The following is a 27,201-nucleotide window of genomic DNA, read 5'->3' as shown; positions in this document are numbered from 1 at the left end:
CGCCTGCTGCTGCGCCTGGCTAATTTTTTGTATTTTCAGTAGAGACTGGGTTTCACCATGGTCTCGATCTCCTGACCTCGTGATCCACTCGCCTTGGCCTCCCAAAATGCTGGGATTACAGGCGTGAGCCACCGCACCCGGCCAAAAATAGTCTTAAGATACATCTAAAGTACATATCGCCATTTTTTACCGGGTAAACATTTACTCAACACCCTCCATGTACCAGATACCATGCTAGGTAGGCTTAAATGTGATTCCCTTTTAATCCTAACAAAACTCTATAAAGCAGTCATTATTTTACAGATGAGGAAAGAAGATTCAGGCTGATTGTCCTAATACAAATGCTATACAAGTGGCAGAATGAAGGCATAAACTTCATCTTTTAACTTAATAAGCCTATTGCTCTTGCATATCACAGCTGCCAAGTGATTTAGAATATAATTTCCACATTTAAGTAAACAAAGAAAAATATGTTGAAAATACTATGAACACAAATGAATCGAGTATAGATAGCAAATAATGACAAGTTATTCTGTTATACTTGCAACAAAACAGCAAAGCAAAACAGTTCTACTCACAAGGTTCAATTCAATTCAACAAACATTTATTGTGAAAGGCACTAACAGAATTCTAAACTAAAACAGCTAAGGATAATATAAAAGTAGAAAGTCTACCACTGTATGTATGAGAGTTCATGGTGCCATGAAGGAAGATTTTACAAGACTAGAAACAAGTTATTCCCCAATTTTCATTAAAAAGCCCCTTTGAAGAGGAAAAATATAATCTAATATTGACATAAAATTCACAAAATGTTGACACTGCCTATATTAAAATGTATCAAATCATAGTTATACCAGTATCTATATTTTTTAAAGTTTCTTGGACCATTCACAATGGGAAAGGCAAAGTGAATACAGTAGAATATTTTCGAATACCTAAAAAATAAACTAGAAATAGATTTTAAGTCTTGATCATTATTATTCTGTCAGGTAGCAATGGAAAGAGTGCAATACACAGCTTAAGTTCAGCAAAACAATGTAACTGAAGATGGTAAGCTCTTATTATATAAAAAACCAGGACAGTAGGAGATGCAGCATGGTCTATCAGAGCACCAGCTTTTCGCTGTCATTCTACTATCAAGAACCTTTGTGATTTTTAAATAACTGACCTATCTGTAAAACTAAAGACTTGGTGTAAATACTCTTTATGGTCCTTTTCAGAATAGCAACATCCAAACAATTATCAATTAATAACAAAAAAAATTTATTACCATTTGGACATTAGCTTTAACACATATACTGTTTAGAGCAGACAGAAAGTTGAATCATTAAGGAAATAAAAATGAAGGAAGAAAAATTGTTCTGATACCACAAATACAAAATAGGACAGTTAGAGGGTAAATTGCTTTGGTCAAAATCCCTAAGAGCGGTCAAAAATAAATATTAAAGAATCTGGCCTGAATTTACTCAGCCTTATCTATCTCCACAATTCTACACCAACAGAATATTAAGCTAGTTAAATTCAAAGTATTTATTATTTGTTTACTGTAGGGATAAGGAACAAAATTAACCACTTAGGCTGTTATTATTATTTATTAAATGACAGTGAGGATCCTCTCCTTTATGATATTCCTAGCAATAACAGCAAGGAATGCTTAATGGAAAACACAGAAGACCGCTTGACACTTTCCATCTGTACAAACTATAGAAAATAGCAAATTCTTGTCTTCTTCACATGTTAATACCAGGAATTTGAACACCATTCTTGTGTCCAACTTCTCAAACACAACAGAAAGACACAGGACCCTAAAACATTCCTACCCACAAAGTGCAAATAGTCTAGTCTCATGTCACCAAATGAGAAAGCAACTATTTCAGACTCTTCACTGACTTTCATATTGCTGTCACGTCTTAAGAAATAATCACCAATACACACAATTCTGATCTTCTTATCCTAGTCATTTATCTATCTACCCAACCATCCATTCATTCCAGCAAACATTTACTGGATTCTAATCATGTTATGTGTAACATCAACATCAAGAGGTCTAGCTCAGAGATCAGCAAATGTTTTCTGTTAAGAAAATTATAGGTAGTAAATATTTCAGGCTTTGTTGGCCCATGTTCTCTGTCCATACTCTTCTTCCTCTTTTTTTTTTCCTCCTTTTTGTTGGTAATGGCTTTTTACATTTTACAAAAATGTAAAAAGGGGTCTCACAAAACAGGCCGTAATTTGGACTTAGCCAAGTATCAATGATTTAATGGATGCTCAAATATTTTTAAATAAACTTTAAGTTGATAAGATTTAGTTCCTGCCCTCAAAAAAGGGTCACAATGTACTAGAGGAAGAAACAAGTAAAACAGAAGTTCAATATCAAATAATCTGTCCTATGAATGAGGTATACACAAGATAGTAATAGGTTAATGTTCAGTAAGTGTTAACATGTGCCAAGCACAATTATTCTAAGTGTTTAACATACATCAATTTACTCCCACAAGAACAACCCTATGAAGTTCTTTTGTAACTCCCATTTTACATATGAGAAAACAGAGACAGAGATATTTAGTAAATTGCCCAAGAAGACATAATCAGCAGAGTGAAGCTAAAGTTTTAACCTGGACAGTAGGCCTCTGGAGCAAGCTCTGCATTTAACCCCATTTGCTAGGAAGCTAATGGGGCAGAGAAGAGGTGCAATATCTAAACCCTATAGGAAAGTTAGAGCAGGCTTCCCTGAGAAGTAGAAACAAGGGAAAGCAGTATTATGAGGGTGGAAAAGTACAGAAAAAGTAGAACATGGGAAGAAAATGAGGTGTGACAGGGATGATAAATTCAGGAAACACCAGTAAGACAGAGTGAAAAGAAGAGGCAAAAAAGTGACAGGAGAAGAGGCTGGAAAGATAGACAAGGACCACATTATGAAGGTCCTCATATTTAAGTTTCAACTTCTTAAAGTTAGTCCTTAAAGCTGAGTGGTTTTAGGAGTTTTAAGCAAGAGGGATGTAATAGAAATTTAAAAATTTTTGGCCAGGCGCGGTAGGTCACGCCTGTAATCCCAGCACTTCGGGAGGCCGAGGCGGGCGGATTACGAGGTCAGGAAATCGAGACCATCCTGGCTAACACGGTGAAACCCCATCTCTACTAAAAAATACAAAAAATTAGCTGGGCGTGGTGGCGGGCGCCTGTAATCCCAGCTATTCGGGAGGCTGAGGCAGGAGAATGGCGTGAACCTGGGGAGGTGGAGCTTGCAGTGAGCCGGGATCGCGCCACTGCATTCCAGCCTGGGCGACAGAGCGAGACTCGTCTCAGAAAAAAAAAAAATAAGAAAAAAAATTCTTTTGTTTACTTAAGTAACAGTATGAATATAGATTTGAGGGAGTAAGTATGAAAATAGTGAGGGAGCCAGTCCATGAACCCTAGGCAAGAGTAGGAGCTAGAATTAAAGTAGTAGCCATGAGAATGGAAAAGAACTAGGTATGAACAATATAAAGAAGGAAGCCTTGGTACTAAGTAACATGTGCAACTGAGTGAAGGAGATGAGCAGGAAAATATGAGTAGAGGAAAAAGTGTGGCCTGAAAGGGAGAAGAATGAGTTTGGATATGTTTAATGTGATGCACCGTTGAGAGAAGTTCAACAGACAGCAGAATTTACAAGTCTGGAACAAAAAGGAAAAGTCTCTACTGTTAAACCAAGTTTAGCCTAAAGCTGCCTCATTACGTATTTTAAGTTTGGCTAAAGGTTTTTCTGTACATGGTGAACTATAACAAGTGGAGGTGTAACCAGACCGTAGCCTACACCTACGCCAATCACCGAGTTTTGGCCAATCAAATGTAGTCAACTGTTTGAACCATGTTCAAATGAGGCAAATGCTGAGCTGTAACCAATCCAGCTGTTTCTGTACCTCACTCCCATTTTCTATACATCACTTTCCTTTTTTTGTCCATAAATCTTCTTCCATCATGTGGCTGCACTGGAGTCTCTGAGCCTACTATGGCTGGGAGGCCTGCCCGATTGGCAAACCGTCAGTTGCTGAATTAAATTCTTTTAAATTTAATTCAGCCGAGGTTTTTCTTTTATCACTACCTTCTTCCTGATCAAATACTCCTTAACAGACTGTCTCACTCCAGAATGATTCTCAGATGTCAGGCAACCCTCATTTCACTTTTCAGTTGTCACCCAGTTAACTCTATCACACCTAGAGCTGTATCACAGGTCTTGGTTACTCATATTTGGCTCAGAATAAGACGCTTTAAATATTTTACAGAGTTTGACTCTTTCGTCAATACCCAAATACATTATGTACATTTTAAGTTAAGACCGGTCTATAAATGGACCTTTGGAGAACTGTATCTATTCATTTAAACCAGTCACAAATGAAGACTAAACACTCCACCCTCTTCCTATGGGGATGTAATCTTGTAAGATACTTAGCATTTAAGATACTTAGCTTTGGTGGAGAGGGGGCAGGCAGGACTTGACACTATTTATATGAATGACATTGAAAATATGATTTACATTAGTGTTACCAGGCACTTTAAAAGCACTTAATAGATGTGACTCCTGTGTGTTCCTACTTTATTGATACAATACAGCATAGTAACAAACATATAAACACTTAATAAACGCCTTTGGCATGAGGACTGCTTGAAATCTAAGCTGATACTTTAGCACAATTATAATTTCACAGAAAGGGTTGGAAAGAAGGAAAATCTTACTTTTTATGCTTAGGACTTTTTAAAAAATGAGACTATTCAAAGACCATGCAAAAGAAGTTATCTTAGTGAAATGGGAAGAAAAGTCAAAGGTTCACAAAAGGCTAAATCAAAATCATTTCAAAACAAAGGAAGCAAAACTGATCTGTAACACATCTTGACACAAAGGGCCATGTAAAAGCCCAGTGTTGCCTATCGTTTTAAAGGTAACTGTCATAATACTGTTCATACCTTTAGGTAATTCTGGCTGACACTGATACAGGATGACTGACTATAGAAACTGTTTTATTGAGAGCCTAACATGTTCACTAGTGGGAAGTGTTCAGAGTTATTTTTCCACATTCTCCAAATGAATAGACTAGCTATAAAAACTAAAAGTCTGAAAAAAAAAAAAACCCTACATAACAGTAATGGCAATAAAATCTCTCTTTAAAAAAAAAAATCAAGCTCAAACACCAAGCATATTTGCTACATATCATGTCCACTTTTATTTTCATAAGATCTGGAGAGGAAAGCTTTATTATTTCTGATATCACACATTTACAATAAGTTTTTTTTTTTTTTCCCCGAGACAGAGTATCACTCTGTCGCCCAGGCTGGAGTGCACAATCTCAGCTCACTGCAACCTCCACCTGCTGGGTTCGAGCGATTCTCCTGCCTCAACCTCCAGACTAGCTGAGATTACAGGCGCCTGGCTAATTTTTGTATTTTCAGTAAAAACGGGGTTTCACCATGTTGGTCAGGCTGGTCTCAAACTCCCGACCTCAGGTGATCTGCCCACCTCGACCTCCCAAAGTGCTGAGATTACAGGAGTGAGCCACTATGCCCTGCCAACAATATGGTTTTAAATACAAATCATTTTGTCAAGTCAGAGTGCTTATCCTATGTTTCCAAACATAGTTTCCATGAATCACTTTTTTCTCAATCTAGACAAGTAAACCTGCTTGCTAACCCTTCCAGAACTTAAGTTCCATCCATCATCTGTCCCCACCCAACTCCCATCAATATTTATTCCCTCTGGAACATATGGTTTTTTTTGAGATGGAGTCTCGCTCTGAGGCCCAGGCTGGAGTGCAGTGGTGCAATCTCAGCTCACCGCAATCTCCGCCTCCAGGGTTCAAGCAATTCTCCTACCTCAGCCTCCCAAGTAGTTGGGATTACAGGTGTGAGCCACCATGCACGGCCCCCTCTGGAACATTTAAGCTGCAGTTCCCTCTACCAAGAATCACATTTTTCCTCTGTTCTAAGTCATAACTCTTCTCACCTTTAAAATATTACTCAAGCTCATATAACTAAATTATCAAGAATTTCTATATTTATCTGGATTGCGAGGGTAGGTCACACATTATTCTCTTAACTCTGTTACATGTTCTGTCATGGGGGGACACAACATCAATAAGAAAAATGATCTTTTTCATAAACTTACTTTTGATAACTTGTAACAGCTCTTGTCTGCATCACAGGGCAGAGGTCAGTTGCATTACATTATAAAACAAAAGACTGAATTTCTTTATCCATGTTAATTAAACCTTTTTTATTCACGTTTGCTATATCTCATCAGTTAACAACATTTGTTACATACCACTACCCATGATTCTGCATATTCTACACATAATGTGTGTTCATTTAACATTATCAGGCGTATGCTGTAAGCACTGTGTACCATTATAATCAGGGGGGAATAGAAGGAAATGGAAGAACATGGAGACACCAATCCTGTTCCAATAGCATTTGAATATCTTTAAGCTGTGTAATTATGTATTCCCCTTAATTTACCTAACTAATTACAATCAAATGAAAAAATATCTTTCAGATGATCATTTTATTTGCAAAGTGTTTTACTTAAAGAATCATACTCAAAGACACAAATATGTACCCATGTGAAATAGGTCTTGAAAACCAAATTTAAAATAAATTCTATTAAAATAGAATTTTATTAAATTCTATTAAAATAGAAAAACAAATGAAGGGGATAGCCAATTAAAGTTTGCAAAATGTCTGGCGTATTGTAAGCACTGAAACGCTTGCTGAAAAGTGAGCTAAGTCAACGTATCTTTTTTTAGAAGACTTGTCAGGACAGGTAAAAATAAAGTTCCCAGACAATCTGAACAGATTCAATTCCACAGCTCAGGAATTAGCTGATTTTACCTGACCTTTAGTTCCTAAACTGTGTCGAATGATAAATGTAACATTATCTTCATCGTTGAAGCCTAATCAGATTATGCTGAGCCCTAAAATTTCCTGAAGCAAAATTTATGGACAAATGACAAATACCCTAGATCTAGAGAAAGGACAAACTCAAGTCATTTAACCATTATCTATGAAATCCCTACCATGTGCCAGGTGCTGGAGATACAGCAGTGAGTAAAGCAGACAAGGTCCCATCCCTCTTGGGAGTTTTCAGTCTCAGAGATACATAATAACAAATTATGATAAATGCTATAAGCAAAAGAACAGAATCTTACAAGACCATATATCAATAATCACTTTTTCTATAGAAACAGTCTTTGTGTTGAGACGTGAAGAATGAAATGGAAATTGACTAAGCAGAGAAGTAAAAGGTCAGAGCATGGTACCTGTGAGAATCTGAACAAAAGTCTCAGTGGCTCAAGTGCAGAGGGTTTGAAAAATAAGAGGGGAGGTGGAGAAGTAGGCCTGGGGAATGTTAGTCTTTATCCTAAGAGTAGCAGGAAATAATGCTATGGAGGAGAATGACATGACTGGATTTGTGTTTTCATAGGATACAGTACCCTAGCTTCAGTGTACAGAACAAATTTAACAAGGATATGGAGGGCTACTATTGTGCTGCAAGGGGGAGATAATCCTACTCAGACTAAGACAGCAGAGAATATGGATTTGAAAATTATTAAAGGATGTCAAATAGACAGGCCTTAGTACAGTAAGAATTTGGGAAGTGAGGGAGAGGGGGTATTAGGAATTACTCCTAAGTCTTTAACTTGGAAAACTGGAATAAAAAAGGTGATGCTATTCACTGACATGTGGGACACCAGAGGATGGCATGCGGCATCAGCGAGTAGTAACTGAGGCCATTGGGATAGATATAATTGCTGGGTCGTAGAATGAAAAGAAATGGAAGCCTAGGACTGAGCTTTCACAAAATCTGACATCTCTGGACAACAAAGGTGGCTGGGGTGAGGTGGCTCATGCCTGTAATCCGAGGCTTTGGAAGGCTGAGGTAGGATCGTTTGAGGTCAGGAGTTCAAGACTGGCCTAGGCAATTTTTTTTTTTTTTTTTTAATTAGCCAGGTATGGTTGACACGTAAAAATGGAGTTAGTTCCCAGACATTCTGAACAGATTCAATTCCAGCTCAGGAACTGGCTGGTTTTACCTGATCTTTAGTTCCTAAACTGTGTCAAATGAACACAGTTACTTAGGAGGCCAAGGCAGGTAGATCACTTAAGCCCAGGAGTGTGAGGTTGCAGTGAGCTATGATTGCGCCACTGCACTCCAGCCTAGGCAGCAGAGCAAGATCCCAACTCTTAAAAAACAAAAAACAAAACAAAACAAAAAACCCAAAGTAGACAAAGCAGGAGTTACCAGAGACATGAGAAGAGAACCGAGAAAGCACGACCTCACAGCTTTCAGGGAAAAAAAGGTTTCACAAAGAGTTGGTGGTTGAGAGTGTCAAACACCACTGAGAGGTCAAATAAGAACAGGTCTGAAAGAATGCTTATTAGATTTCATGACCTGAAGGTCACTGATGATCTTAAGAATACTTCCCAGAATAGTGAACTATTCCATGGCTTAGACTGGCAGTAGAATGCAACAAGAGCACATTCTACTCACTCATTAAACTCCTTTCTTGTTTTCTTTTTTTCTGCCCATCCTTTCTTGCTCTGCACTCTCTCCTGACTTCAATATGGCTTCCTTTCTCATCTTTTTTGTTCTATCTACTCATTTCTTTCTTCTCCATACTTATTGATTTTCTCCTTTGCCTTTCCCACCCTTATTTGATGACAATATGGAACTGAAAATACTTCATTTTTTATTGAATACTTCCATTCTTCCTGTTCTTAATTTTAACACTTTATAATTCAGAATGGTTGAGGATGGTGCTGGTGGCAAAATTTAATTGCTTTTACTTATATGAAAGCTTCAGAATAACTTATCTCAAAGAGTGGGTCAATGGTTTGAACAGGAAATAACGTCCTAAAAAATCAAACTCTTCTTCTATAAGAATATAGTCCCCTCTTATCTGTGGGGGGCACATTCCAAGACCCCCAACTGAAACTGGGGCTAGTATTGAACCCTATATAACACTATGTTTTTCCTATATATATATACCTATGATTAAGTTTAATTTATAAATTAGGCATAGTAAGATTAACAATAAGAATAATAAAATAGAAGTTATAATAATATGTCAGCATCACTACTCTTGCACCTTGGGACCACTATAAGTAAAATAAGTGTTACCTGAACATAGCACTGCAATACAATGATCAGCCAATCTGATAACATAGGCCGCTACTGAATGACTGACAGGCAGGTAGTGTATACAGCATGGGATATACTGAACAAAGGAAAGATTCACGTCCTCGGCAGAACAGAGTGGGATGCCGTGAGATTTCATCTCACTACTCAGAACAGCATGCAACTTAAAACTTATAAATTATGTCTTGGATTTTCCGTTTAATATTTTTGGACAGCAGTTGACTGTGGGAAGCTGAAACCACAGAAAAAGAAACAGCAGATAAAGGGGGACTACTGTTGTCTTCTAGTATAAGCTAAATATTTTGTTCTTAGATCGCTAACTGCTGGATATAATGTGGCACAAACCACCATCTCTGTTATAAAATCTTAAGTTATTAAATAAGACTCATCTAAAGTACTTTTTCTTGAATATTTCCAGGGCACAAGATATTCTTATACAGAAACCTCAGAATGGAAAATAGCTAAGACATAAGCAGTGTTTCACAGAACCATCCATCAGTCTTTTTTAGGATGTAGCAGTCTTCCATGTATCACTTAACCAATCATTATTCTTACCCCATCTTTTTGGGCAGGGGGTGGTAGAATTTAAAATTTACCATTACTAAGACAGGGTGATAGTAAGCATAGAATTTTGGGATGTCTTTTTTTTCCTTGCCCTAAACCTTCAGAGTTCTGCCAGGTGATTCAAATGTTAAGATCCCATAATCTCGCCTGTGTGCTCAAGCGAACACTAACACTTTAAAAAGTGGGAATGAAAAATCTGAACTGTTGAATTAGACACAGTATTTGGCCCCATCTTCAATTTCAGAAAGAACAAGTAGAGATATCAGGGCCATTGCGGCCTTCTGTAGTCATACTGAAGAATGATGTACATTTAAAGTTTTAATACAGTTTTTAAATAAGCCAAAAAAAAAAAGTCTTCTGTAAGAAAACACTATTGTTCTCATCATAGTTCTATTATCAATAATTATTACAGCCGGGCACAGTGGCTCACACCTGTAATCCCAACACTTTGGGAGGGCAAGGTGGGGGGATCACTTGACCCAGGAGTTCAAGATCACTCTGGGCAACATACTGGGACTCCATCACTACAAAGAAAACAAAAACCAAATCCAGGCATGATGGTGCAAGCCTGTAGTCTCAGCTACTGGGGGAAGGCTGAGGTGGAAGGACTGCTTGAGCCTGGGAGCTCAAAGGTGCCGTGAGCTGTGATCGTGCACTCCAACCTGGAGTGAGAGCCTGTCTCAAAAAAAAAAAAAAAAAAAAATACATTTATTTGACTAAGTAAGATTAGCAGCCCCAGAGTTCATCAGTTGCAATTCATTCACTGCAAATCTCAGGACTAAAAGTAGTATGTTTCAGAAGAGTATCTTTCTAAAAGACAACAAAAAAGGTGGAAAACAAGAAGGAGCTGTAAAGGAAAATGAGAGGGTTGTCATTATTTTTAGATGGAAATGCTGTCATTAATGAAAGGCAACAAGCATTTTCGCAAGAACTGGATTTACAAGAAAGCGTAACTTTACTATAATTCATGGTTTGTCCAGAAAACTGAATATATGAACAAATGACAACCAAACTATTTTAACTCCCAACCCTTTCGGAAACACAGTGAGTCTACAAAGAAGTAAGTCTACTAATCAGCAAAGACTGAATTTTAACTGTGTTAAAATTCAGAGTAATTTTGGTCTATATTTACTAGGGCAAAATATAGACCCAATACATAGCAAAATTCATCTAAAAACAAGGACAATAAAATAACAGAAATAGGTAACTACCTATTTAAAATGAAACCTTCCTCATAGACCCACATGTTCTATAGAAATTTGTCAGAAATAGTAAATTCCAGGCAATACTCAAAAGACCTAGAAGGAAAGAAGAGGAAAGGAAGATATTAGATAAAGGAATTATCTGAAATAACCAAGTGAATTTCTGTTACTAGTTTTATAGTCAGATTCTTCATAGTTTCATTCTCTACTCAGGCCTATTAAAATAAAACCCCTTAAACTTTACCTAAAGCAACAGGGTGAGAAGCAACAGATTAAAAGCAAAACATTACATGCTAGAGATTAGAGCTTTAATAATTAAGGGAAAGGAGGGGTACGTAACTAATAAAAGTAGTCAAAAAGTTCTGCATAGAGTAACCTTCTTAATGTGAGCAAAGAAACACACAAAAAGAAAATCTCAACCTTATTACTCTTCAACTATTATAAGGAATAAGAAAACCTAGTTGGGGAAAATCGTATTTTTAGTTAGTAACTGGTGGTCATTCAGAATAAATCAAGAGTTTGCTCTACAATTACTACCCTTGTTTTTTCACATAGAGATTAAACATGAACAGTATGCTCCTGGTTCAGGCTCAATTATTCAGGAAGAAAATAAAACACATTTATTTTAAACTATGGCTTTTATATCTTTGTCAAACTCTAATTTCTTTCACTCTTACATTTTGAAATCCCTTATTTTTCTATCTTAAGCAATATGAAGCTGATGAGAGGGGAAAGACCACAAGTTCAAGTTCTTGTCCATACACTACTCATAACGTGGTTATCCTAGCTTTTCATACAGAAGCCTATGAGAGCTCCCAGTTACTTTCCCAACAACTGCCACACTTCTGCCAGACATAATAGGCAAGGCATAAAAGGTACTGGCCTGAGGCCAAGAGAAAGAAAATTCTTTGTGGCTAAAAGGGGCCCAGATACGTCTCAGGCTGCTGCTCCAGATGGGGCAAGTTGTAAGCCTTGGCAGCTTCCACGTGGTGGTAAGCCTGCGGGTGCACAGAGGGCAAGAGTTGAGGCTTGGGAGCTCCTGCCTAGATTTCAGAGGATGTATGGAAACTCCAGGCAGGACTCTGCTGCAGGAGCAGAGGCCTCATGCAAAACCTCTACGAGGGCAGTGTAGAGGGGAGTGGGGTTGGAGCCCCCACACACAGTCGCCACAGAGGCAGTGCCTACTGGAGCTGTGACAAGAGGGCCACCGTCCTCCAGACCCCAGAATGGTAGATCTACTGACGGCTTGTTCTGTGTACCTGGAAAAGCCACATGCACTCAACGACAGCCTGTAAAGACAGCCGAGGGGCTGTACCCTGTAGAGCCACAGGGGCAGAGATGCCTCAGGACCTGGGAGACCACCCCTTGCATCAGTGCTGCCCGGATATGAGACATAGAGTCAAAGATTATTTTGGAGCTTTAAGATTTAATGACTGCCCTGCTGGGTTTCGGACTTGCACAGGGCCTGTAGCCCCTGTCTTTTGGTTGATTTCTCCCTTTTGGAATGGGTGTGTTTACTCAATGCCTGTACCCGTGTTGTTATCTTGGAAGTAACTAACTTGTTTTTGATTTCACAGGCTCATAAGTGGAAGAGACTTGCCTTGTCTCAGATAAGACTTTGGATTGTGGACTTTTGAGTTAATGCTGAAATAAGATTCTGGGGGACTACTGAGAAGGGATGACTGTATTTTGCAATGTGAGAAGGACATGAGAGATTGGGGAGGGGCCAGGGCAGAATGATACGGTTTGGATTTGTGTCCCCACCCAAATCTCATGTCAAATTGTAATCCTCGATGTTGGATGAGGGGCCTGGAAGGAGGTGACTAGATCATGGGGGTAGTCTTCCCCCTTGCTGTTCTTGTAATAGTGAGTTCTCACAAGATCTGGTTGTTTAAAAGTGTGTAGCCCCTCCTACTTCTCTCTCTTCCTCCTGCTCTGGTCATAAAAGACCTGCTTGCTTCCCCTTCAGTTTCTGCCATGATTCTAAGTTTCTTGAGGCCTTCCCCCACCACGCTTGTACAGCCTGTGGAACTGTGAGCCAATTAAACCTCTTTTCTTTATAAATTACCCAGTCTCAGGAAGTTCTTTACAGCAATGCAAGAACTGACTAATACAGTTCTGAATATGGTTTTTTTTTTTTTTTGAAATCCTAATGTGTGGGAACATACTTACAAAACCAGAGTAAGAACATTCCCAGCCAAAAAAGGGGGCATTGTCAAAAAAAAAAAAAAAAGGTAATATTTACTATTTTGACATTTTTCAGAATGAAAACCATTCACCAAAAAAAGCATTTATTCCTGATAAGCAAATATAAGAATACAGAAAATGAATTTATTAATGGCAAGTATTCCTAGTCTTACAAAAAACTGTATACTGTTCATTCTAACATACTGCGGACATTCTTTTATTTCTGTGGACAGCAAACCTGTCGTGTAAAAAGTCAGAAAGTAAACATTTTAGTGTTTATGGGACACATGGTCTCTGCCACAACTATTCAACTCTGCTGTTGCAGCATAAAAGCAGCTATAGATATTACAGAGACAATGCATAAACAAATGGGTATGGTTATATCCCAATAAAAGTTTATGAATATTGATGTTTCAATTTCATATAATTATAATGTCATGAAATATTATGCTTTTTATTTTCCCCCACAAAAAAATGTAGAAATCATTCTTAGCTCAAGGGCCATACAAAAACAGAAAACACGAATTTGACCTGAGGACCATTGTTTGCCTATTCCTACATTATTTCCAATGTTTGTGGAAATAAAAATTTATAAATGTCTATAAAAATATTCTCTTTCTTGATGGTTCACTAATTCACCACTTCCAGTTCTAAGCCTTCCACAGAAACTCTCTGAGGTCCTCATTTCATCAGATTCCTTCCCTCCTTACACATCCCTCTCCCCAGGGCACAGCTTGAATGTTTTAAATCAAAATCTACTCATGTCAGAAAATAAGCCACCCATCTCAACTTTTTACACATCCTACTTCCTTGAAATACTGTAAAGCTCCAAATCTTTTCATGCTCAATCTTTGAATAAATATAGAAGTCTGACCAATCTTATTATGCCTTTTCTCTTTCAACCATCATTGAATTTTAATTCTCTACAATGAGACCCCTGTGAAGTCTTGGCAGTTCGGGTGTCTTGTTGAAAAGGCAAGTTTTAGTCACAAATACATTTAATGTTTAAAATCTCTCCATTAATTGTCCAAATGGCTTCTAAGGAAACTCAGGAAAAGAGTTTCAGTTTATTGTTTTAAATGGCTTCTCTCCCACTTTCCCAGTTAGGTGTTCTTTTTAATTTTTATTCTTTTTAAAATTTACTATTTGTCTAATGACTATTATTGTATTAATATTAGGATAATAACCGAAAATGTTTTAAGGACTTGATACCTCTTTAAATCTAAAGCCACAAGGTTCTAAAATGTTAAGTTATTTAAATAATTAAAACAATGCTAGCATAAATTCAACTTTTCACAATATTTGAAATGTGTTAACACTGGCTTGGAAAGGTACAATCACAAACCTGAAAAATGTCAAGAAATAATTCATTTCATAAAGTGACCCTGTATGTGGGGAACTGTATAAATGTGTAGTCTCTGCTGTAGAGCTTTCAGATTAGCATAGAGAAACATTCAGGAGTTAGTGAAAAACCATGTGGAAGGGGCAGAAATGTGCTGGGCAGGAGACGGAGCATTCAACAGAGAATGAAATTTCACTCTCCATCTCTCCCTATCCACAAACAAGTGTTTAAATGCACCCATATTAAAACTGTTCCCAGTAAATTCAGGATAACAGTAACAGCAAAAATGCCACAGTTCAGCAATCTGTGTTTGACTATGGAGTGATTTCTCCTGAAGACAGATGCCACCCCAAGGAACAAAAGCAGAAAAACAATCCAATGTATGACCAGAGGCAGAGGCAAAAGCAAGAAAATATTAGAACTACAAGTCTGACTCTCTGTCTGTCTCTCTCTCTCTGTCTCTTCTCTCTCTCCTCTGAGATTCCTGGCTACATCTTTAGAACATCCTACACAGACAACAGGAATGGTAATTTCCTACATAACACACAGCAAGAAGCTCTTTGCCTTTTATTTTGCTGCCAAGTACATAAACCAAAGGCTTCTTGCAGACTGCTGTACCCAAAAAAACAAAACAAGGAATACTTCCTGAAAAGCAATATTCAGGGTCCATAAAGAGTCAAAACATTTCCTCAAGTAGTTAACAGGCCTTTTTTTTTTAACTTCAGCTATGCTAGTCAGATTTTAATATAAGAAATTCTTAGGACCAAAAATGTTGAATGTGCTATGTATATTTATTTGAAGAACATATGGGGAAAAAAATAGGAATACTAAAAATTTCCTCATGAAATTTTCAAAATAAAATGTTACTACTGTTCCTACAAAGGAATTACTTCTTTAATCCCTTTAATGTTGTTTTTAACACCACTGAATCACCTCTATAATCCTAAAAGGGCAGACCCACAAACTCAGGGAGAGTTCAAGGTGGTCACTAAATGTTAAGTCACAAATTGCCCACCATTAGCTCAACGTCAGAAAAAAAAGAAAACATACGTTGTCCTAAGTTCGACTCTTACTCTTTTTTTTTTTTTTTTGAGACAGAGACTCACACTGTTGTCCAGGTTGGAGTGCAGTGGCGGGATCTCGGCTCACTGCAACCTCTGTCACCCAGGTTCAAGTGCTTCTCCTGTCTCAGCCTCCCAAATAGCTGGGATTTATAGGCATGTGCCACCACACCTGGCTAATTTTTGTATTTTTAGTAGAGACAAGGTTTCGCCATGTTGGCCAGGCTGGTCTCAAACTCCTAATCTCAGGTGATCTGCCCACCACGGCCTCCCAAAGTGCTGGGATTATAGGCGTGAGTCACCGCGCCCAACCCAACTCTTGCTCTTTACCATATTAAAATAACAGAGTTTTAATTTCAAAACAATACTAAAAAAGAAATACTATTCCTTCTCCTCCTTTGTCACTCTCTTTCCATCTCTCAGACATCCTTCAACTCTACCACAAACCACTTATTAACTGTCCGATTTCTTTCAAAGAATATAAATAAATAAAACCTTAGTCCCAATCTCCAGTCATCAGCTATTTATTCTTTGCTGTAAACTAAGGAGGTCTCTATTTCAATAGACTTGCTAACCTGACAATGTTTTTCTCAACGGTTAACAGTAGGCAAATACCTAGAACCATACACTCCTTTGCAAACGTAACTGACATTTGTCAGCATTATTAAAACAACTTTACAATTAGCAGGCTAATTTCAAGTTTGTAGAAAATGAAATTTCAATAATTTCTCACATTTTAAGTTTGGATCTACATAGGTTACTTCTTTTTTTTAATTTCCCACTTAAAGCTTGTTTGTTATTTCTCAGTTCAATCCCAATGAAAAGTAATGCAACACAACAAACCTACAGTAAAGCCATCTCCATGACACCAAAGAGCCAACATCCAATAAGTAGGAGCAGATTAGCAAGAATTTCTGATCATTACATGAACTGCTCTCAGCAATTAAATTTATTCCCACCTGCCTGTCTTGTTACACGGACAAAGGGAGGAAAAACTATAGTGAATGTAAATCAAAGTTATTACTTTAAAAATACAGGATTTTTAAGCTATAGGATTAAAAGACAGAGAATAGAGAACAACAACAGTAAAATCTCTGGATCTTTCCACTTGCCCTGGATTCCTGGGTTGCAGCTTCTCTAACAGCTCATTTTCCCTTCTTGTGAGGTTTTACTACTCGGTGTGCATTGCTCTCCACTTCCACTTCTACCCCTGTAGGTTTTTAAAAGGAGATAAAGCAACTGTATAAGAATGCCTAAAGACATCAAAGACCCAAAGCTTCACTGGTTGTGTGTGGCATAGGAGGAAGAGGAGGAAAACGTGAGGTAATGAGGATCTGCTGTATTTACCTTATGTGCAGGGCATGTGGACAACAATAGAAACCATGTAGGGTGCACTTTTGGTCAAAAAAGAACATGGCAGCCTAATGGGAGGCCTTTGTTCTTCAAAAGGGTCTCCTTTCCCCCTTTTGTGCTCCACTTAATTCATGGCATCTGAGCTGCTCTTGAACTTGACAGACTGAGAGAAAGAAAGGGGGAGTCAGACACACAAACAGAAAGGAAAATGAAAGACTTCAAAGAGAATTAATTTGAAAAAATTAGTTCTACTGCCAGTTTTTTGATGAAGTTTTGGAATTTTAAGGGAGTTGGAAAGTAATGAACTGCTGAAATAAATTTAATTTTCCCAGAAATTGTAATGAATAATAAAGTAGATAAATAAGGTATAAAATATAATTATATCCTAATAATTTGTTAGTAGATTTTTTCCTGCTACATGTATTTCTTGAAATAATAGTAAGAAAATGTCTGATATTCAACAGATTACATGAAAGATAACATTCTACAAGCAGAACCAATATCTAAGTGATTTCCCAGCTGAAGGGAATTTTACTTGAGTCACGCTGAAGAACACCACAAAACCACCAGCGCCACCTGCAGGGTAAACACAGATTAGCAGTTTACCACACTGGTATTTCAAAGCCCAAGATTTTAAAAAAGACACAGTAGGCCGGGCACGGTGGCTCACACCTGTAATCCCAGCACTTTGGGAGGCTCGAGGCAGGCAGATCATGAGGTCAGGAGATCAAGACCATCCTGGCTAACACAGTAAAACCCATCTCTACTAAAAATACCAAAAATTAGCCAGGCCTGGTGGCAGGCACCTGTAGTCCCAGCTACTAGGGAGGCTGAAGCAGGAGAATGGCATGAACCTGGGAGGCGGAGCTTGCAGTGAGTCAAGATCGCACCACTGCACTCCAGCCTGGGCAACAGAGCAACAAACACTCCATCTCAAAAAAAAAAAAAAAAAAAAAAAAAGACACAGTAACTGTGATACTTTCACAATGAAGAATTTTAAAATGTTTTAAAGCAGTAAATAACTTCAGATGAAGAACAATGCCCTAGGAATCTCTGGCCAATTTTAGGTATTTATTAATATAAAAACAGAACTGCAGAAAGATCGGTAGCTATGTACTAATACAAAGGACTGCTTCAAAATCTTAAAAGAGCTAGTTATAAGTAAGATCACTGTCTCACGGTTTTAGTTTTTTTTTCCTGATTGTAAAACATTACAATACAATCAAACAAGTCTGAAATATAGGAAACTATCCTATTCCCATTACATTTAGTATTTATTCCTCCAGGTCTCTCTTCTATGCATGTCTTGCATATATAGTTTGGTATCACATGCCATACCTACTACTTTTGTGGGTTTTTTTTTTCCTTTTTACAGCTTCCTTCCCCCCACCCCATTTAATATATTTGATAGCTCTTTTTATATCAGTACACATTATACCTTCATTTTTTGGTGGTGTATAGTATTTTACTTCAAGGATATACTAATGATTTGTGATCAATAATACTGATCACAATACTAATACTATTAATACAGGTATTGGGTTGTTTCTAATTTTTCCACTTTACAAACAAACCTCCAAGAAACAGCACTTTTCATATCTTTCCTTACTGGTGTAAAAATGTCTGTAAACAAATGGCTAGAGACAGAATTCCTAAGTGAAATAATATGAACATTTTGCGGTGTCTCACGCCGGTAATCCCAGTACTTTGGGAGACCAAGACAGGCAGATCATGAGGTCAGGAGATCAAGACCATCCTGGCCAACACGATATAACCCCATCTCTACTAAAAATACAAACATTAGCTGGGTGTGGTGGCACGTGCCTGTAATCCCAGCTACTTGGGAGGCTGAGGCAGAAGAACCGCTTGAACCCAGCAGGTGGAGATTGCAGTGAGCCAAGATCATGCTACTGCACCCCAGCCTGGCAACAGAGCGAGACTCCATCTCAAAAAAAAAAAAAAAAAAAATTAATAGTATTACCAAATTGTGCCAAAGTACCTTCCCAATATTATGTGACAGTGGCTGTTTCCCTTGATCCCAGACAACAATCTTTTAAATATTTGACATTCTGATACTGATTTTGTTTTAATAATTCTAGAACATCTGCACATACCTCTTCAAATTGAGATTATGACACACTTAATTACCGATGAAAAGATTTTGTAAAAGCACTACTTTTAAACCACCAATTATTATTTTATAGCCATATCTCAATTTCACCTTACAATAGAATTACTACCCAACCTGATTACACCCATCACAATGCATTCAGAAAGCACTGGATATTTCCAAATCCACCTTCGGAAGATAATTTGGTACCATTAAGGAGATTTAAAGGGTATGCTCCAGGTTTCAAAGGCAACTATAAAAAAGGCAGAACCTATGGCATGTGTTCATCTATGTAACAAACCTGCAGGTCCTGCACATGTATCCTGAAACTTAAAATAAATTTAAAAAAATGGCAGAATCATATAAATGCAAACTCTTCCCAAGAGAACTATTGTGAAGGTGGAGCTTTCAACTGGATTTCTGTGCATAAGCATGCAAGTGTGTCAGTTATATTTGTTTAAAAGTGCAACCATTCTAATCACACCTTGTATACACAACAAGTTGTAGAAGTATACAGGTCTGTGGATTTAACAGTGTAGCTGCAGGCTTAGCATTGACATAAATTGAAGCTTGAGTTTTAATACCTAAGGTAGGGTTTCTCAACCTAAGTACTACTGACATTTTGGACCAGATAATTCTTTGCAGAGAGGGGAGGAGACTGACTTTGTGCATTGCAGGATGTTTAGCAGCATAACTGGCCTCTAATCACTAGATGCCATGAGCACCATTCTTCAGGTTGTGACAATCAAAAATGTCTCCAGTCATTGCCAAATGTTGGGGGGTGGGGGAGGGTACGGCAAGAGACTGTCCCTATTTGAGAACCACAACCCTAAGAGTACTCCTCAAATGAGCTATATATATACATTTCACTACTGCATGCACTGTCTCATAAGTTTGATTTTTAAAAATATACAAATATTTTAAATACCTAAAAGAGTTATCAAATCTTCTTTAACCTTCACCACATGCTGCTGCCATTAGTGAATTTGGCAGCCATCTACATTGCTTGGTTTTAGACACAGGCTAAATCAATGACTCTGAATAACCTAATTACTAACTTAAATTACTAGCTAACAATGACATTTCATAATGGTTTAATAGAAGAAACGCTAAACTTGTGAGGCAAAAACTTAAGTTATCTTATCATTGTGAACTGTCCTGTTAATTCTATCTCTAAAATGTATCTTGAATCCCCTGCTTCTCTGCATCTTCCACAATCTTTGTCTCAGCCACCATCTCTCATCTAGACTCAGACCCTTTAAACTGTTCTCTCAGCTGCTACTCTAGACTCCACCAAGCTACTCATTCAACTAATACTTACTGAATGCCTGTTATATACAGCATTACACATCCTGAGAATAGATCAGTACAGGACTCTCTTACAAAATTCTTTATCCAGTGAAATTTACATTCTAGTATGAAAGTCAGAGAAAAATAAAGTAGGGAAGGACTGGCAGGGATGGGGTCTGGTATGGATTCACCAGTTGTATAAAGACCTGAAGGAGGTTAGGAAGTGAACTACATGGGTATCTGTGAGAAAAGCATCCTAGGCAAACGAGACAGCAAGTGTAAAGGCCCTGAGGTGGGAGCATGTCTCGGAGATTTACTCCGAGTAAAATGGGAAACCGTGGGAAGATCTGGAGCAGGAGAGACATGCTCTAACATTTTAAAGGAAAAAAACTGGTAACTGTCTAGAATAGGCTGTTGGTGTGAGTGCCTGGGCCATGATAAATTTTTTTAAAAAAATTTCTTAAGAAAAAAGATAAAAAAAGAATAGCTGTAGGGCTGGAAGGGTGGAAGCTGAGACTAGCTAATTCAAATGAGATTTATACCAGGGTGGAGACTGTGGAGATAAGAAGTGGCTGAATTTTGGATATATTATTAATCACAGTGATATTTTAAAAACACAAACTGGACTGTGTCACTCTTCAAAAGCCCTTCAATTGCCATTTTCTTTTCAATGTACTTTATATAAAATACAAAATCCAATATGGTCTAAAAGGCTCTATATGATCTGGTTCCTCCTTAACTCTCCAGGTTCATCTTACTCCTCAGTAATCAAAATATGTTCTGGCCACACTGACCTTTGAGGTCATCTAATACCCCAAATTCCTTTCCACTTGGGGGCCTTGGTGCATACTGCTCACTCTGCTTAGAATGCCCTTCTCCACTCTTTGCCCTACCTACATGCTCTCATATGTCAGTTCTCAGCTTAAAATTCATTTCCTCTTAATCACATGGGGCAGCATGAAAAAAGAAAAAAAAAAACACTTCCTTAAAGAGACCTTTCCTGACATACCACTATAAATTAGCTGTACTCCCTTTGCCCATTATCTTCTCTTAAAGTACCTCAAAGTACTTTTCCTTGATAGGACCCATCCAAGTTTGTAATTGCAACATTGGTTTACTATATATAGTGGTTAATATTTGTCTCTATAGACCATAAGGTATAAAGAGCAGAGATCACTTTTGTTTCACTTACCATCATAACCCAGGATTGGCCACAATACCTGGCACATAGCAATTACAAAAAATAACAAGTAATAGAAGAGCTTTCATCCCAGCTCTGCCACATATGACCTACTCACAGGTGTTCTCAAGATTTCAACATATCTTCCCTCCCTTTTATTCTTAAGACTCTATGAAGGTCACAAGAACTAGAGTAAATGAGACAAAGAAGTAGGAAATCACAAGGAGTCTTAAGAATAGTTTGTCTGAAACAGCCAGAGAGTAGAGTAGTAGGAGAGATGAATGAGGGAGGGCCTTGACTGTTGGGGTATGAAATCTGGACTTTATTCAGCAGCCAAATGGAGAGATACTGAAGGCTTTGAGTAGTAAAATATACCAATCGGAACTGTGTTTTTGGAAGTTTATATCTATCTGTGGTACATAACTCACTGAAGAGGCTAAATGCAAAAATCTGAATTAGAAGCCAACAGGTGAATAGGGCCTTTTTTTTTTTTGAGTCGGAGTTTCGCTCTTGTTGCCCAGGCTGGAGTGCAATGGCCCGATCTTGGCGCACTGCAACCTCTGCCTCCCGGGTTCAAGCAATTCTGTCTCAACCCCCTGAGTAGCTGGGATTACAGGCATATGCTACCACGCCCGGCTAATTTTTGCATTTTTAGTAGAAACAGGGTTTCATCATATTGGTCAGGCTGATCTCAAACTCCTGACCTCAGGTGATCCACTCGCCTCGGCCTCCCAAAGTGCTGGGATTACAGGCATGAGCCACCACACTCGGCCGACATGTTTTTTAAAATAGCTGGATATACAAAAACATATCTTTTCTTACATTTTCATTAATAAAGGTTTTTAGTGTTATTTGATAGCTACACTAAGCTTACATTTGTTTTAGTTATGTTTATAAAGAAAACAAAAAAGTGTTCCAACAATGGAAAACACTTTCATTTTCTCATTCATTACTGACAATGCAACCAGATTAATCTTCCAAAAGTATGGCTCAGATCATATTACTCAAAACACTTCAGTGGCTCCCCACTGTCTACTGAATTAAGTCCAAACACCTTAGCCTGATATTTAAGACTCTACATAAACTGGCCCCAATTTATGTACTTTTCTCTCCTATATTCTAGCCAAATTGAACTACTTTTGCTCCAAACATGGCCAGCTTTTTCTGCCTCTACCAGACCTTGCTTCACACTGTTTTTTTCTTTCTTAAATGCAACCCCACCCTCCATCCTTAACCCACCTGTCAAAATCCTACCTTCTTTATTGAGGGCCCAGCTCCCTTGTTACTGCCACTCTAAGCATCTTTCTTCAACCCACCTCAAGTACAAAATCCATCCCCAGGGGCTTTGTGACTCACCACATTCTACATTGAATGATTTTTCTTCATATGTTTGATCTCCTCAATTAAATTATAAACAACTTCTAGCTCCCTCTGTGAAACTAAGAGGGTACGTATGTACACAGAAGCAAGCAACTATATTTATAACTTAAACTGTTTAAGAACTTAGTCCCTTTGAGGGCAGATACGGTTTCTGATTCATCTTGTGTTTCCCGCAATTCGCTGAACAAAGTACACTGAATAAATTAGTGTTGAATAAAACACTCAACAATTTTAAATCAAATATAAAATTTGCCCTTATCTCTGGGGTCTCATTAGTTAAGCCACACTAAAAGAAAGAAGCACCAGACACAGTGGTGGGCACCCCTAGTCCAGCTACTTGGGAGGCTGAGGTGGGAGGATCACTTAAGCTTAGGAGCCTGAGGCTGCAATATGCCATGACTGCACCTGTGAGTAGCCATGGCACCTCAGCCTGGACAATATAGTGAGACCCCATCTCAAAAAAAGCAACATTTATTGAACACCTGCACTGTAATTAGCTGCTGTGCTAAGACTGTAGAGATGATTAAAAATAAGTATAAAACACCATCCCTGTCCCAAGAAGGTTCCTAAGGTTCTATTCTTAGGTACACGAAACATATTTTCAAAGCAATCAGAAAAATACAAAAGTGTTATCAAACATAATCAAGGCTGGGCACAGTGGCTCATGCCTGTAATCCCAGCACTTTGGGAGGCTGAGGCAGGCGGATCACTTGAAGTCAGGAGTTCCAGACTGGCCTGGGCAACATGGTGAAACCTCATCTCTACTGAAAATACAAAAATTAGCCAGGCATGATGGCACGTGCCTGTAATCCCAGCTACTCAAGAGGCTGAGGTATGAGAATCGTTTGAACCTGGGAAGCGAAGGTTACAGTGAGCCAAGCCAAGATTGTGCCACTGCACTCCAGCCTGGGCAACAGAGCAAGACTCTGTCTTAAAAAACAAAAAACAAAATCAAATCCTAAATTGAATATGAATTTCCAAAGAGCTGGTACAGATAACAAGTGCCATGGGAAATTGAGTGGAGAGATCAAAGTTGGTCATCCTCAATGCAAAATGCTTATCAGAAGCTTGGCTAGAGGGCAGGAAGAGGCAAGATTATCTAAAACAATGTGTTCCCCTAGACTGTGCCAACAGCTATATCTATCCCTATATCTTGCTCTTAAAAAGAAAAATAACCCATGCAGAGGACCACATCTCCAACCTACAACCGTTCATGCTCACTGGCCCCATTATCTTATGCAAGAATCCTCTGCTAGTGCACACATGAAAAATCCAGACATCTAAAAACACAAAAATAGTTTTCCAAAATAAAGAATCATTTTCTGCATCTTTCCTTTCATGAGTGGCAGGGGAGAGGGGCAGATCTCAAAGGTGACCATTTAAAAAAACCTAATAAAATTCTAAAAATAAACTGTAACTAGTCCTTATAGCGCTTGCTTGACTCATTTTAACAATTACCTCTTTAAACATCAGTAATCAGACAAATTTTAGATATGTTATGGTTGACTGGGAACCACTCTCCTATTCAAATGTTTCAAATCAGACAAGACATTTATAAATCAAATGAGAAATACTATAAAATAGTGGTTTAAAGTTGAGACCCTGAAGCTAGCTGGCATGGGTTCATAATCCTAGCTAAGTATTAAGTTTCCTCTGGGCTTCAGTTTACTAATTTCTAAAAGGAACAAAAAAATATAGTTAATTCATACTACTGTCATGAAGAGCTAATGCATTAAAATTTTAGTGCATTAAATGCACTAAAATTTTAAGTATACTAATCTAGCATATAGTGAGCAACCCAAAAACTGCTACCTACTCTTATCCAAAGTAATTAAGGGCACAGTTCAGTCAAGACTACTCAGGCAATAACATAGTAGTAAACAAAAAGTGCCAGCTTCAAAAGTGAAAACCGAACAACTTTCCTATACAGGAAATTAGCGTCAAAAGAAATGTAGAACATGTGTATATGTGGAAACTCTGTATGACAGAGCTTTGGCAATGCAGGAAAGCTGAGGAAAGAGGGAAAAATTCAACAAATCATGTTGAGAGAATTAGAAATCCATATACTTAAACAATTAGATCCTCATCTCATACCATACACAAAAATCAACTCCAGGTAGACTAAGGATCAAAAGGTAAAAAAGCAAACGTTAAGAAAACATACGAGAATCTGAAGATCTGGAAGAGACAGCTTTCTTTAATAACACATAAAAAGTACAAACCATAAAGGAAAAGGCTGATAAATACAATAGTATTAAAATTAAAAACTTGTTTTCATTAGGAGTCCATTAAAAAATACAAAGATGAATCACAGACTGGGAAAGATATTAGAACATACATAACCGAGCAAAAAAGAATTAGAATTTAAAAATTCCTAAAAATCAATGAAAGATGTAACGATTTTTTTAACAAGCAAAATATATTAACTGGCAATTCATAGAAGAAACACAATTAGCCGGGTGCAGTGGCTTACGCCTGTAACCCCAGCACTTTGGGAAGCTGAGGCGGGCGGATCACGAGGTCAGGAGATCGAGACCATCCTGGCTAACACAGTGAAACCCCATCTCTATCAAAAATACAAAAAATTTGCCGGGCGTGGTGGCGGGTGCCTGTAGTCCCAGCTACTCGGGAGGCTGAGGCAGGAGAATCGCGTGAACCCAGAAGGCGAAGCTTGCAGTGAGCTGAGATCGCGCCACTGCACTCCAGCCTGGGCGACAGAGCGAGACTCTGTCTCAAAAAAAAAAAAGAAACGCAATGATCAATAAGCATATGAAAAGATACTTAATATCATTAACAATAAAGAAAATACAAATTATACCCTTTATGAGATGCCATTTCATGTGCAATGAGGCTGGCAAAATTACACTATCTTGGCAAAGATGTGGTGCAATAAGAACTACACTAGTAGTAAGAATATAAATTGATATAGTCACTCTCGCAGTATCTGATAAAGCTAAAGATGTGCACACCCTACATACAATTCCACTTCTAGGCTTACATATGTACTGTACATTTTGTCCATGCACTCTATCTTACACACACAAACACACCCCCCCTTAATAAAACTCTTAACATGTACGCACAGGGAGATATATACTGGATTATTCTGAGCAGCATTGCTTATAAGTGCCAAGAACTGGAAACAGTCAAAATGTCCATCAAAAGAAAAACGACTAAATCAACTGTGGCATATTTATTCAACAAAATACCACACGGTCATGAAACTGAATTGCGGTAGATGGTTTACTAAACTGGTTGCAGTTACTCCCTTCCCTGTATCCATGCCATTTTGCAGTGTGCCTTTGCTGCTCCTCCCATCAAGAGCTGCATCCCTCAAATCTGGGATGGTCTCCCAATAGAATGCAATAAAAATGATGTTACTAGCCTAAGTCTCAAAAGGCCTTATATACTTCCACTCCCTCGTTTATAACACTGCTCAGCTGCCAGGTGAACAAGATAAGGCCAGCCTCCTTCGGGATAAAACCATGTGAAGCAGAAACAAGCTGTCTCTGCTGAAGCATCTTAGCCTACACAAACTTCGGCCAACACAGCAGCTGGTCATAGATACACGAGTAAGCCTGGTTAAGATCAGCAGAATCACCTAGCTGACCCAACAGTCACATGAGCAATAAAAACAGGGGTTAGCAAACTACAGCCTGTACGCAAAATCTGGTATGATGCCTCTTTTTATATGGTCCACAAGCCAAGAATAGTTTTTGCAGAAGAACATTTGCAAAAGTTTTGATAAGAAACACTAAACTTGGACCCCAATTAGGCAAAATGTTGTCCTCCCCAAATAATTCTATTCTTCTCATTAGTAGACCTGTATTGCAAGAGTTTTTAACTCAATTACTATTCTATTCGTTTATATTTTGAATTTTCTGAATTTAAAGTACATGGTAATTTGTTCTCTCTCTTGTTATATAAGTATCTACATAGTATCCATGATTTTGCCTCTTGGCCTACAAAGCCTGAAATATTTACTATCTGACCCTTCAAAGAAAAGATTTGCCAACCTCTGATTAACAGCTTACACAGGTCCTCCTGTGTACACATGTGTATACAGACACACACATATATCTATATAATCTCACTGACTGATAGACAAATAGACCTGGCCATTAGGTATGTGCTGGATATTATTAGTAAAGAAGAAAGCAAAACAAATTAATGCAATTATAATTTTTTTGCAATTTGTAAGTGCTATGAAGGAAATAAAGGATCAAGTTTGATAATAACTGGTTGTCAAACAATTGCTAAGGATCGCATACAGTGTGGCACATTCAGAAGGGGAAGAAATATGAAGAAAGTTGCTAATTCTTGTGTCTTTCAGTCACTCCCTCCAAAATATGGAGATGCTCACAAG

The 27,201-nt window shown here is 38.1% G+C and overlaps 1 protein-coding gene and 1 long non-coding RNA gene across 11 annotated transcripts in view, besides 1 other annotated feature; both read right to left on the bottom strand.

The window, feature by feature from the left end:
• The window catches only part of POU2F1 (POU class 2 homeobox 1), a 206,461-nt gene that overhangs the window by 141,880 nt on the left and 37,380 nt on the right, over nt 1-27,201 (bottom strand). The window lies entirely within an intron of this gene.
• The window catches only part of LOC124900412 (uncharacterized), a 52,839-nt gene that overhangs the window by 8,990 nt on the left and 16,648 nt on the right, over nt 1-27,201 (bottom strand). The window contains exon 2 of the long non-coding RNA XR_007066718.1: nt 1-27,201. This exon is cut by the window's left edge and continues 8,990 nt beyond it. This is a non-coding gene — a long non-coding RNA (uncharacterized LOC124900412).
• Nucleotides 21,088-21,177: an enhancer, noted in NCBI's record as "active region_2038". NCBI's record gives its function as "activates an Ori minimal core promoter by ATAC-STARR-seq in GM12878 lymphoblastoid cells {active_cell/tissue: GM12878}" and the evidence as "EXISTENCE:reporter gene assay evidence [ECO:0000049][PMID:35858748]".

Source organism: Homo sapiens, chromosome 1 (assembly GCF_000001405.40).
Source record: "Homo sapiens chromosome 1, GRCh38.p14 Primary Assembly".
NCBI lineage: Eukaryota > Metazoa > Chordata > Mammalia > Primates > Hominidae > Homo > Homo sapiens.
This window is presented reverse-complemented; position numbering and strand designations above follow the sequence as displayed.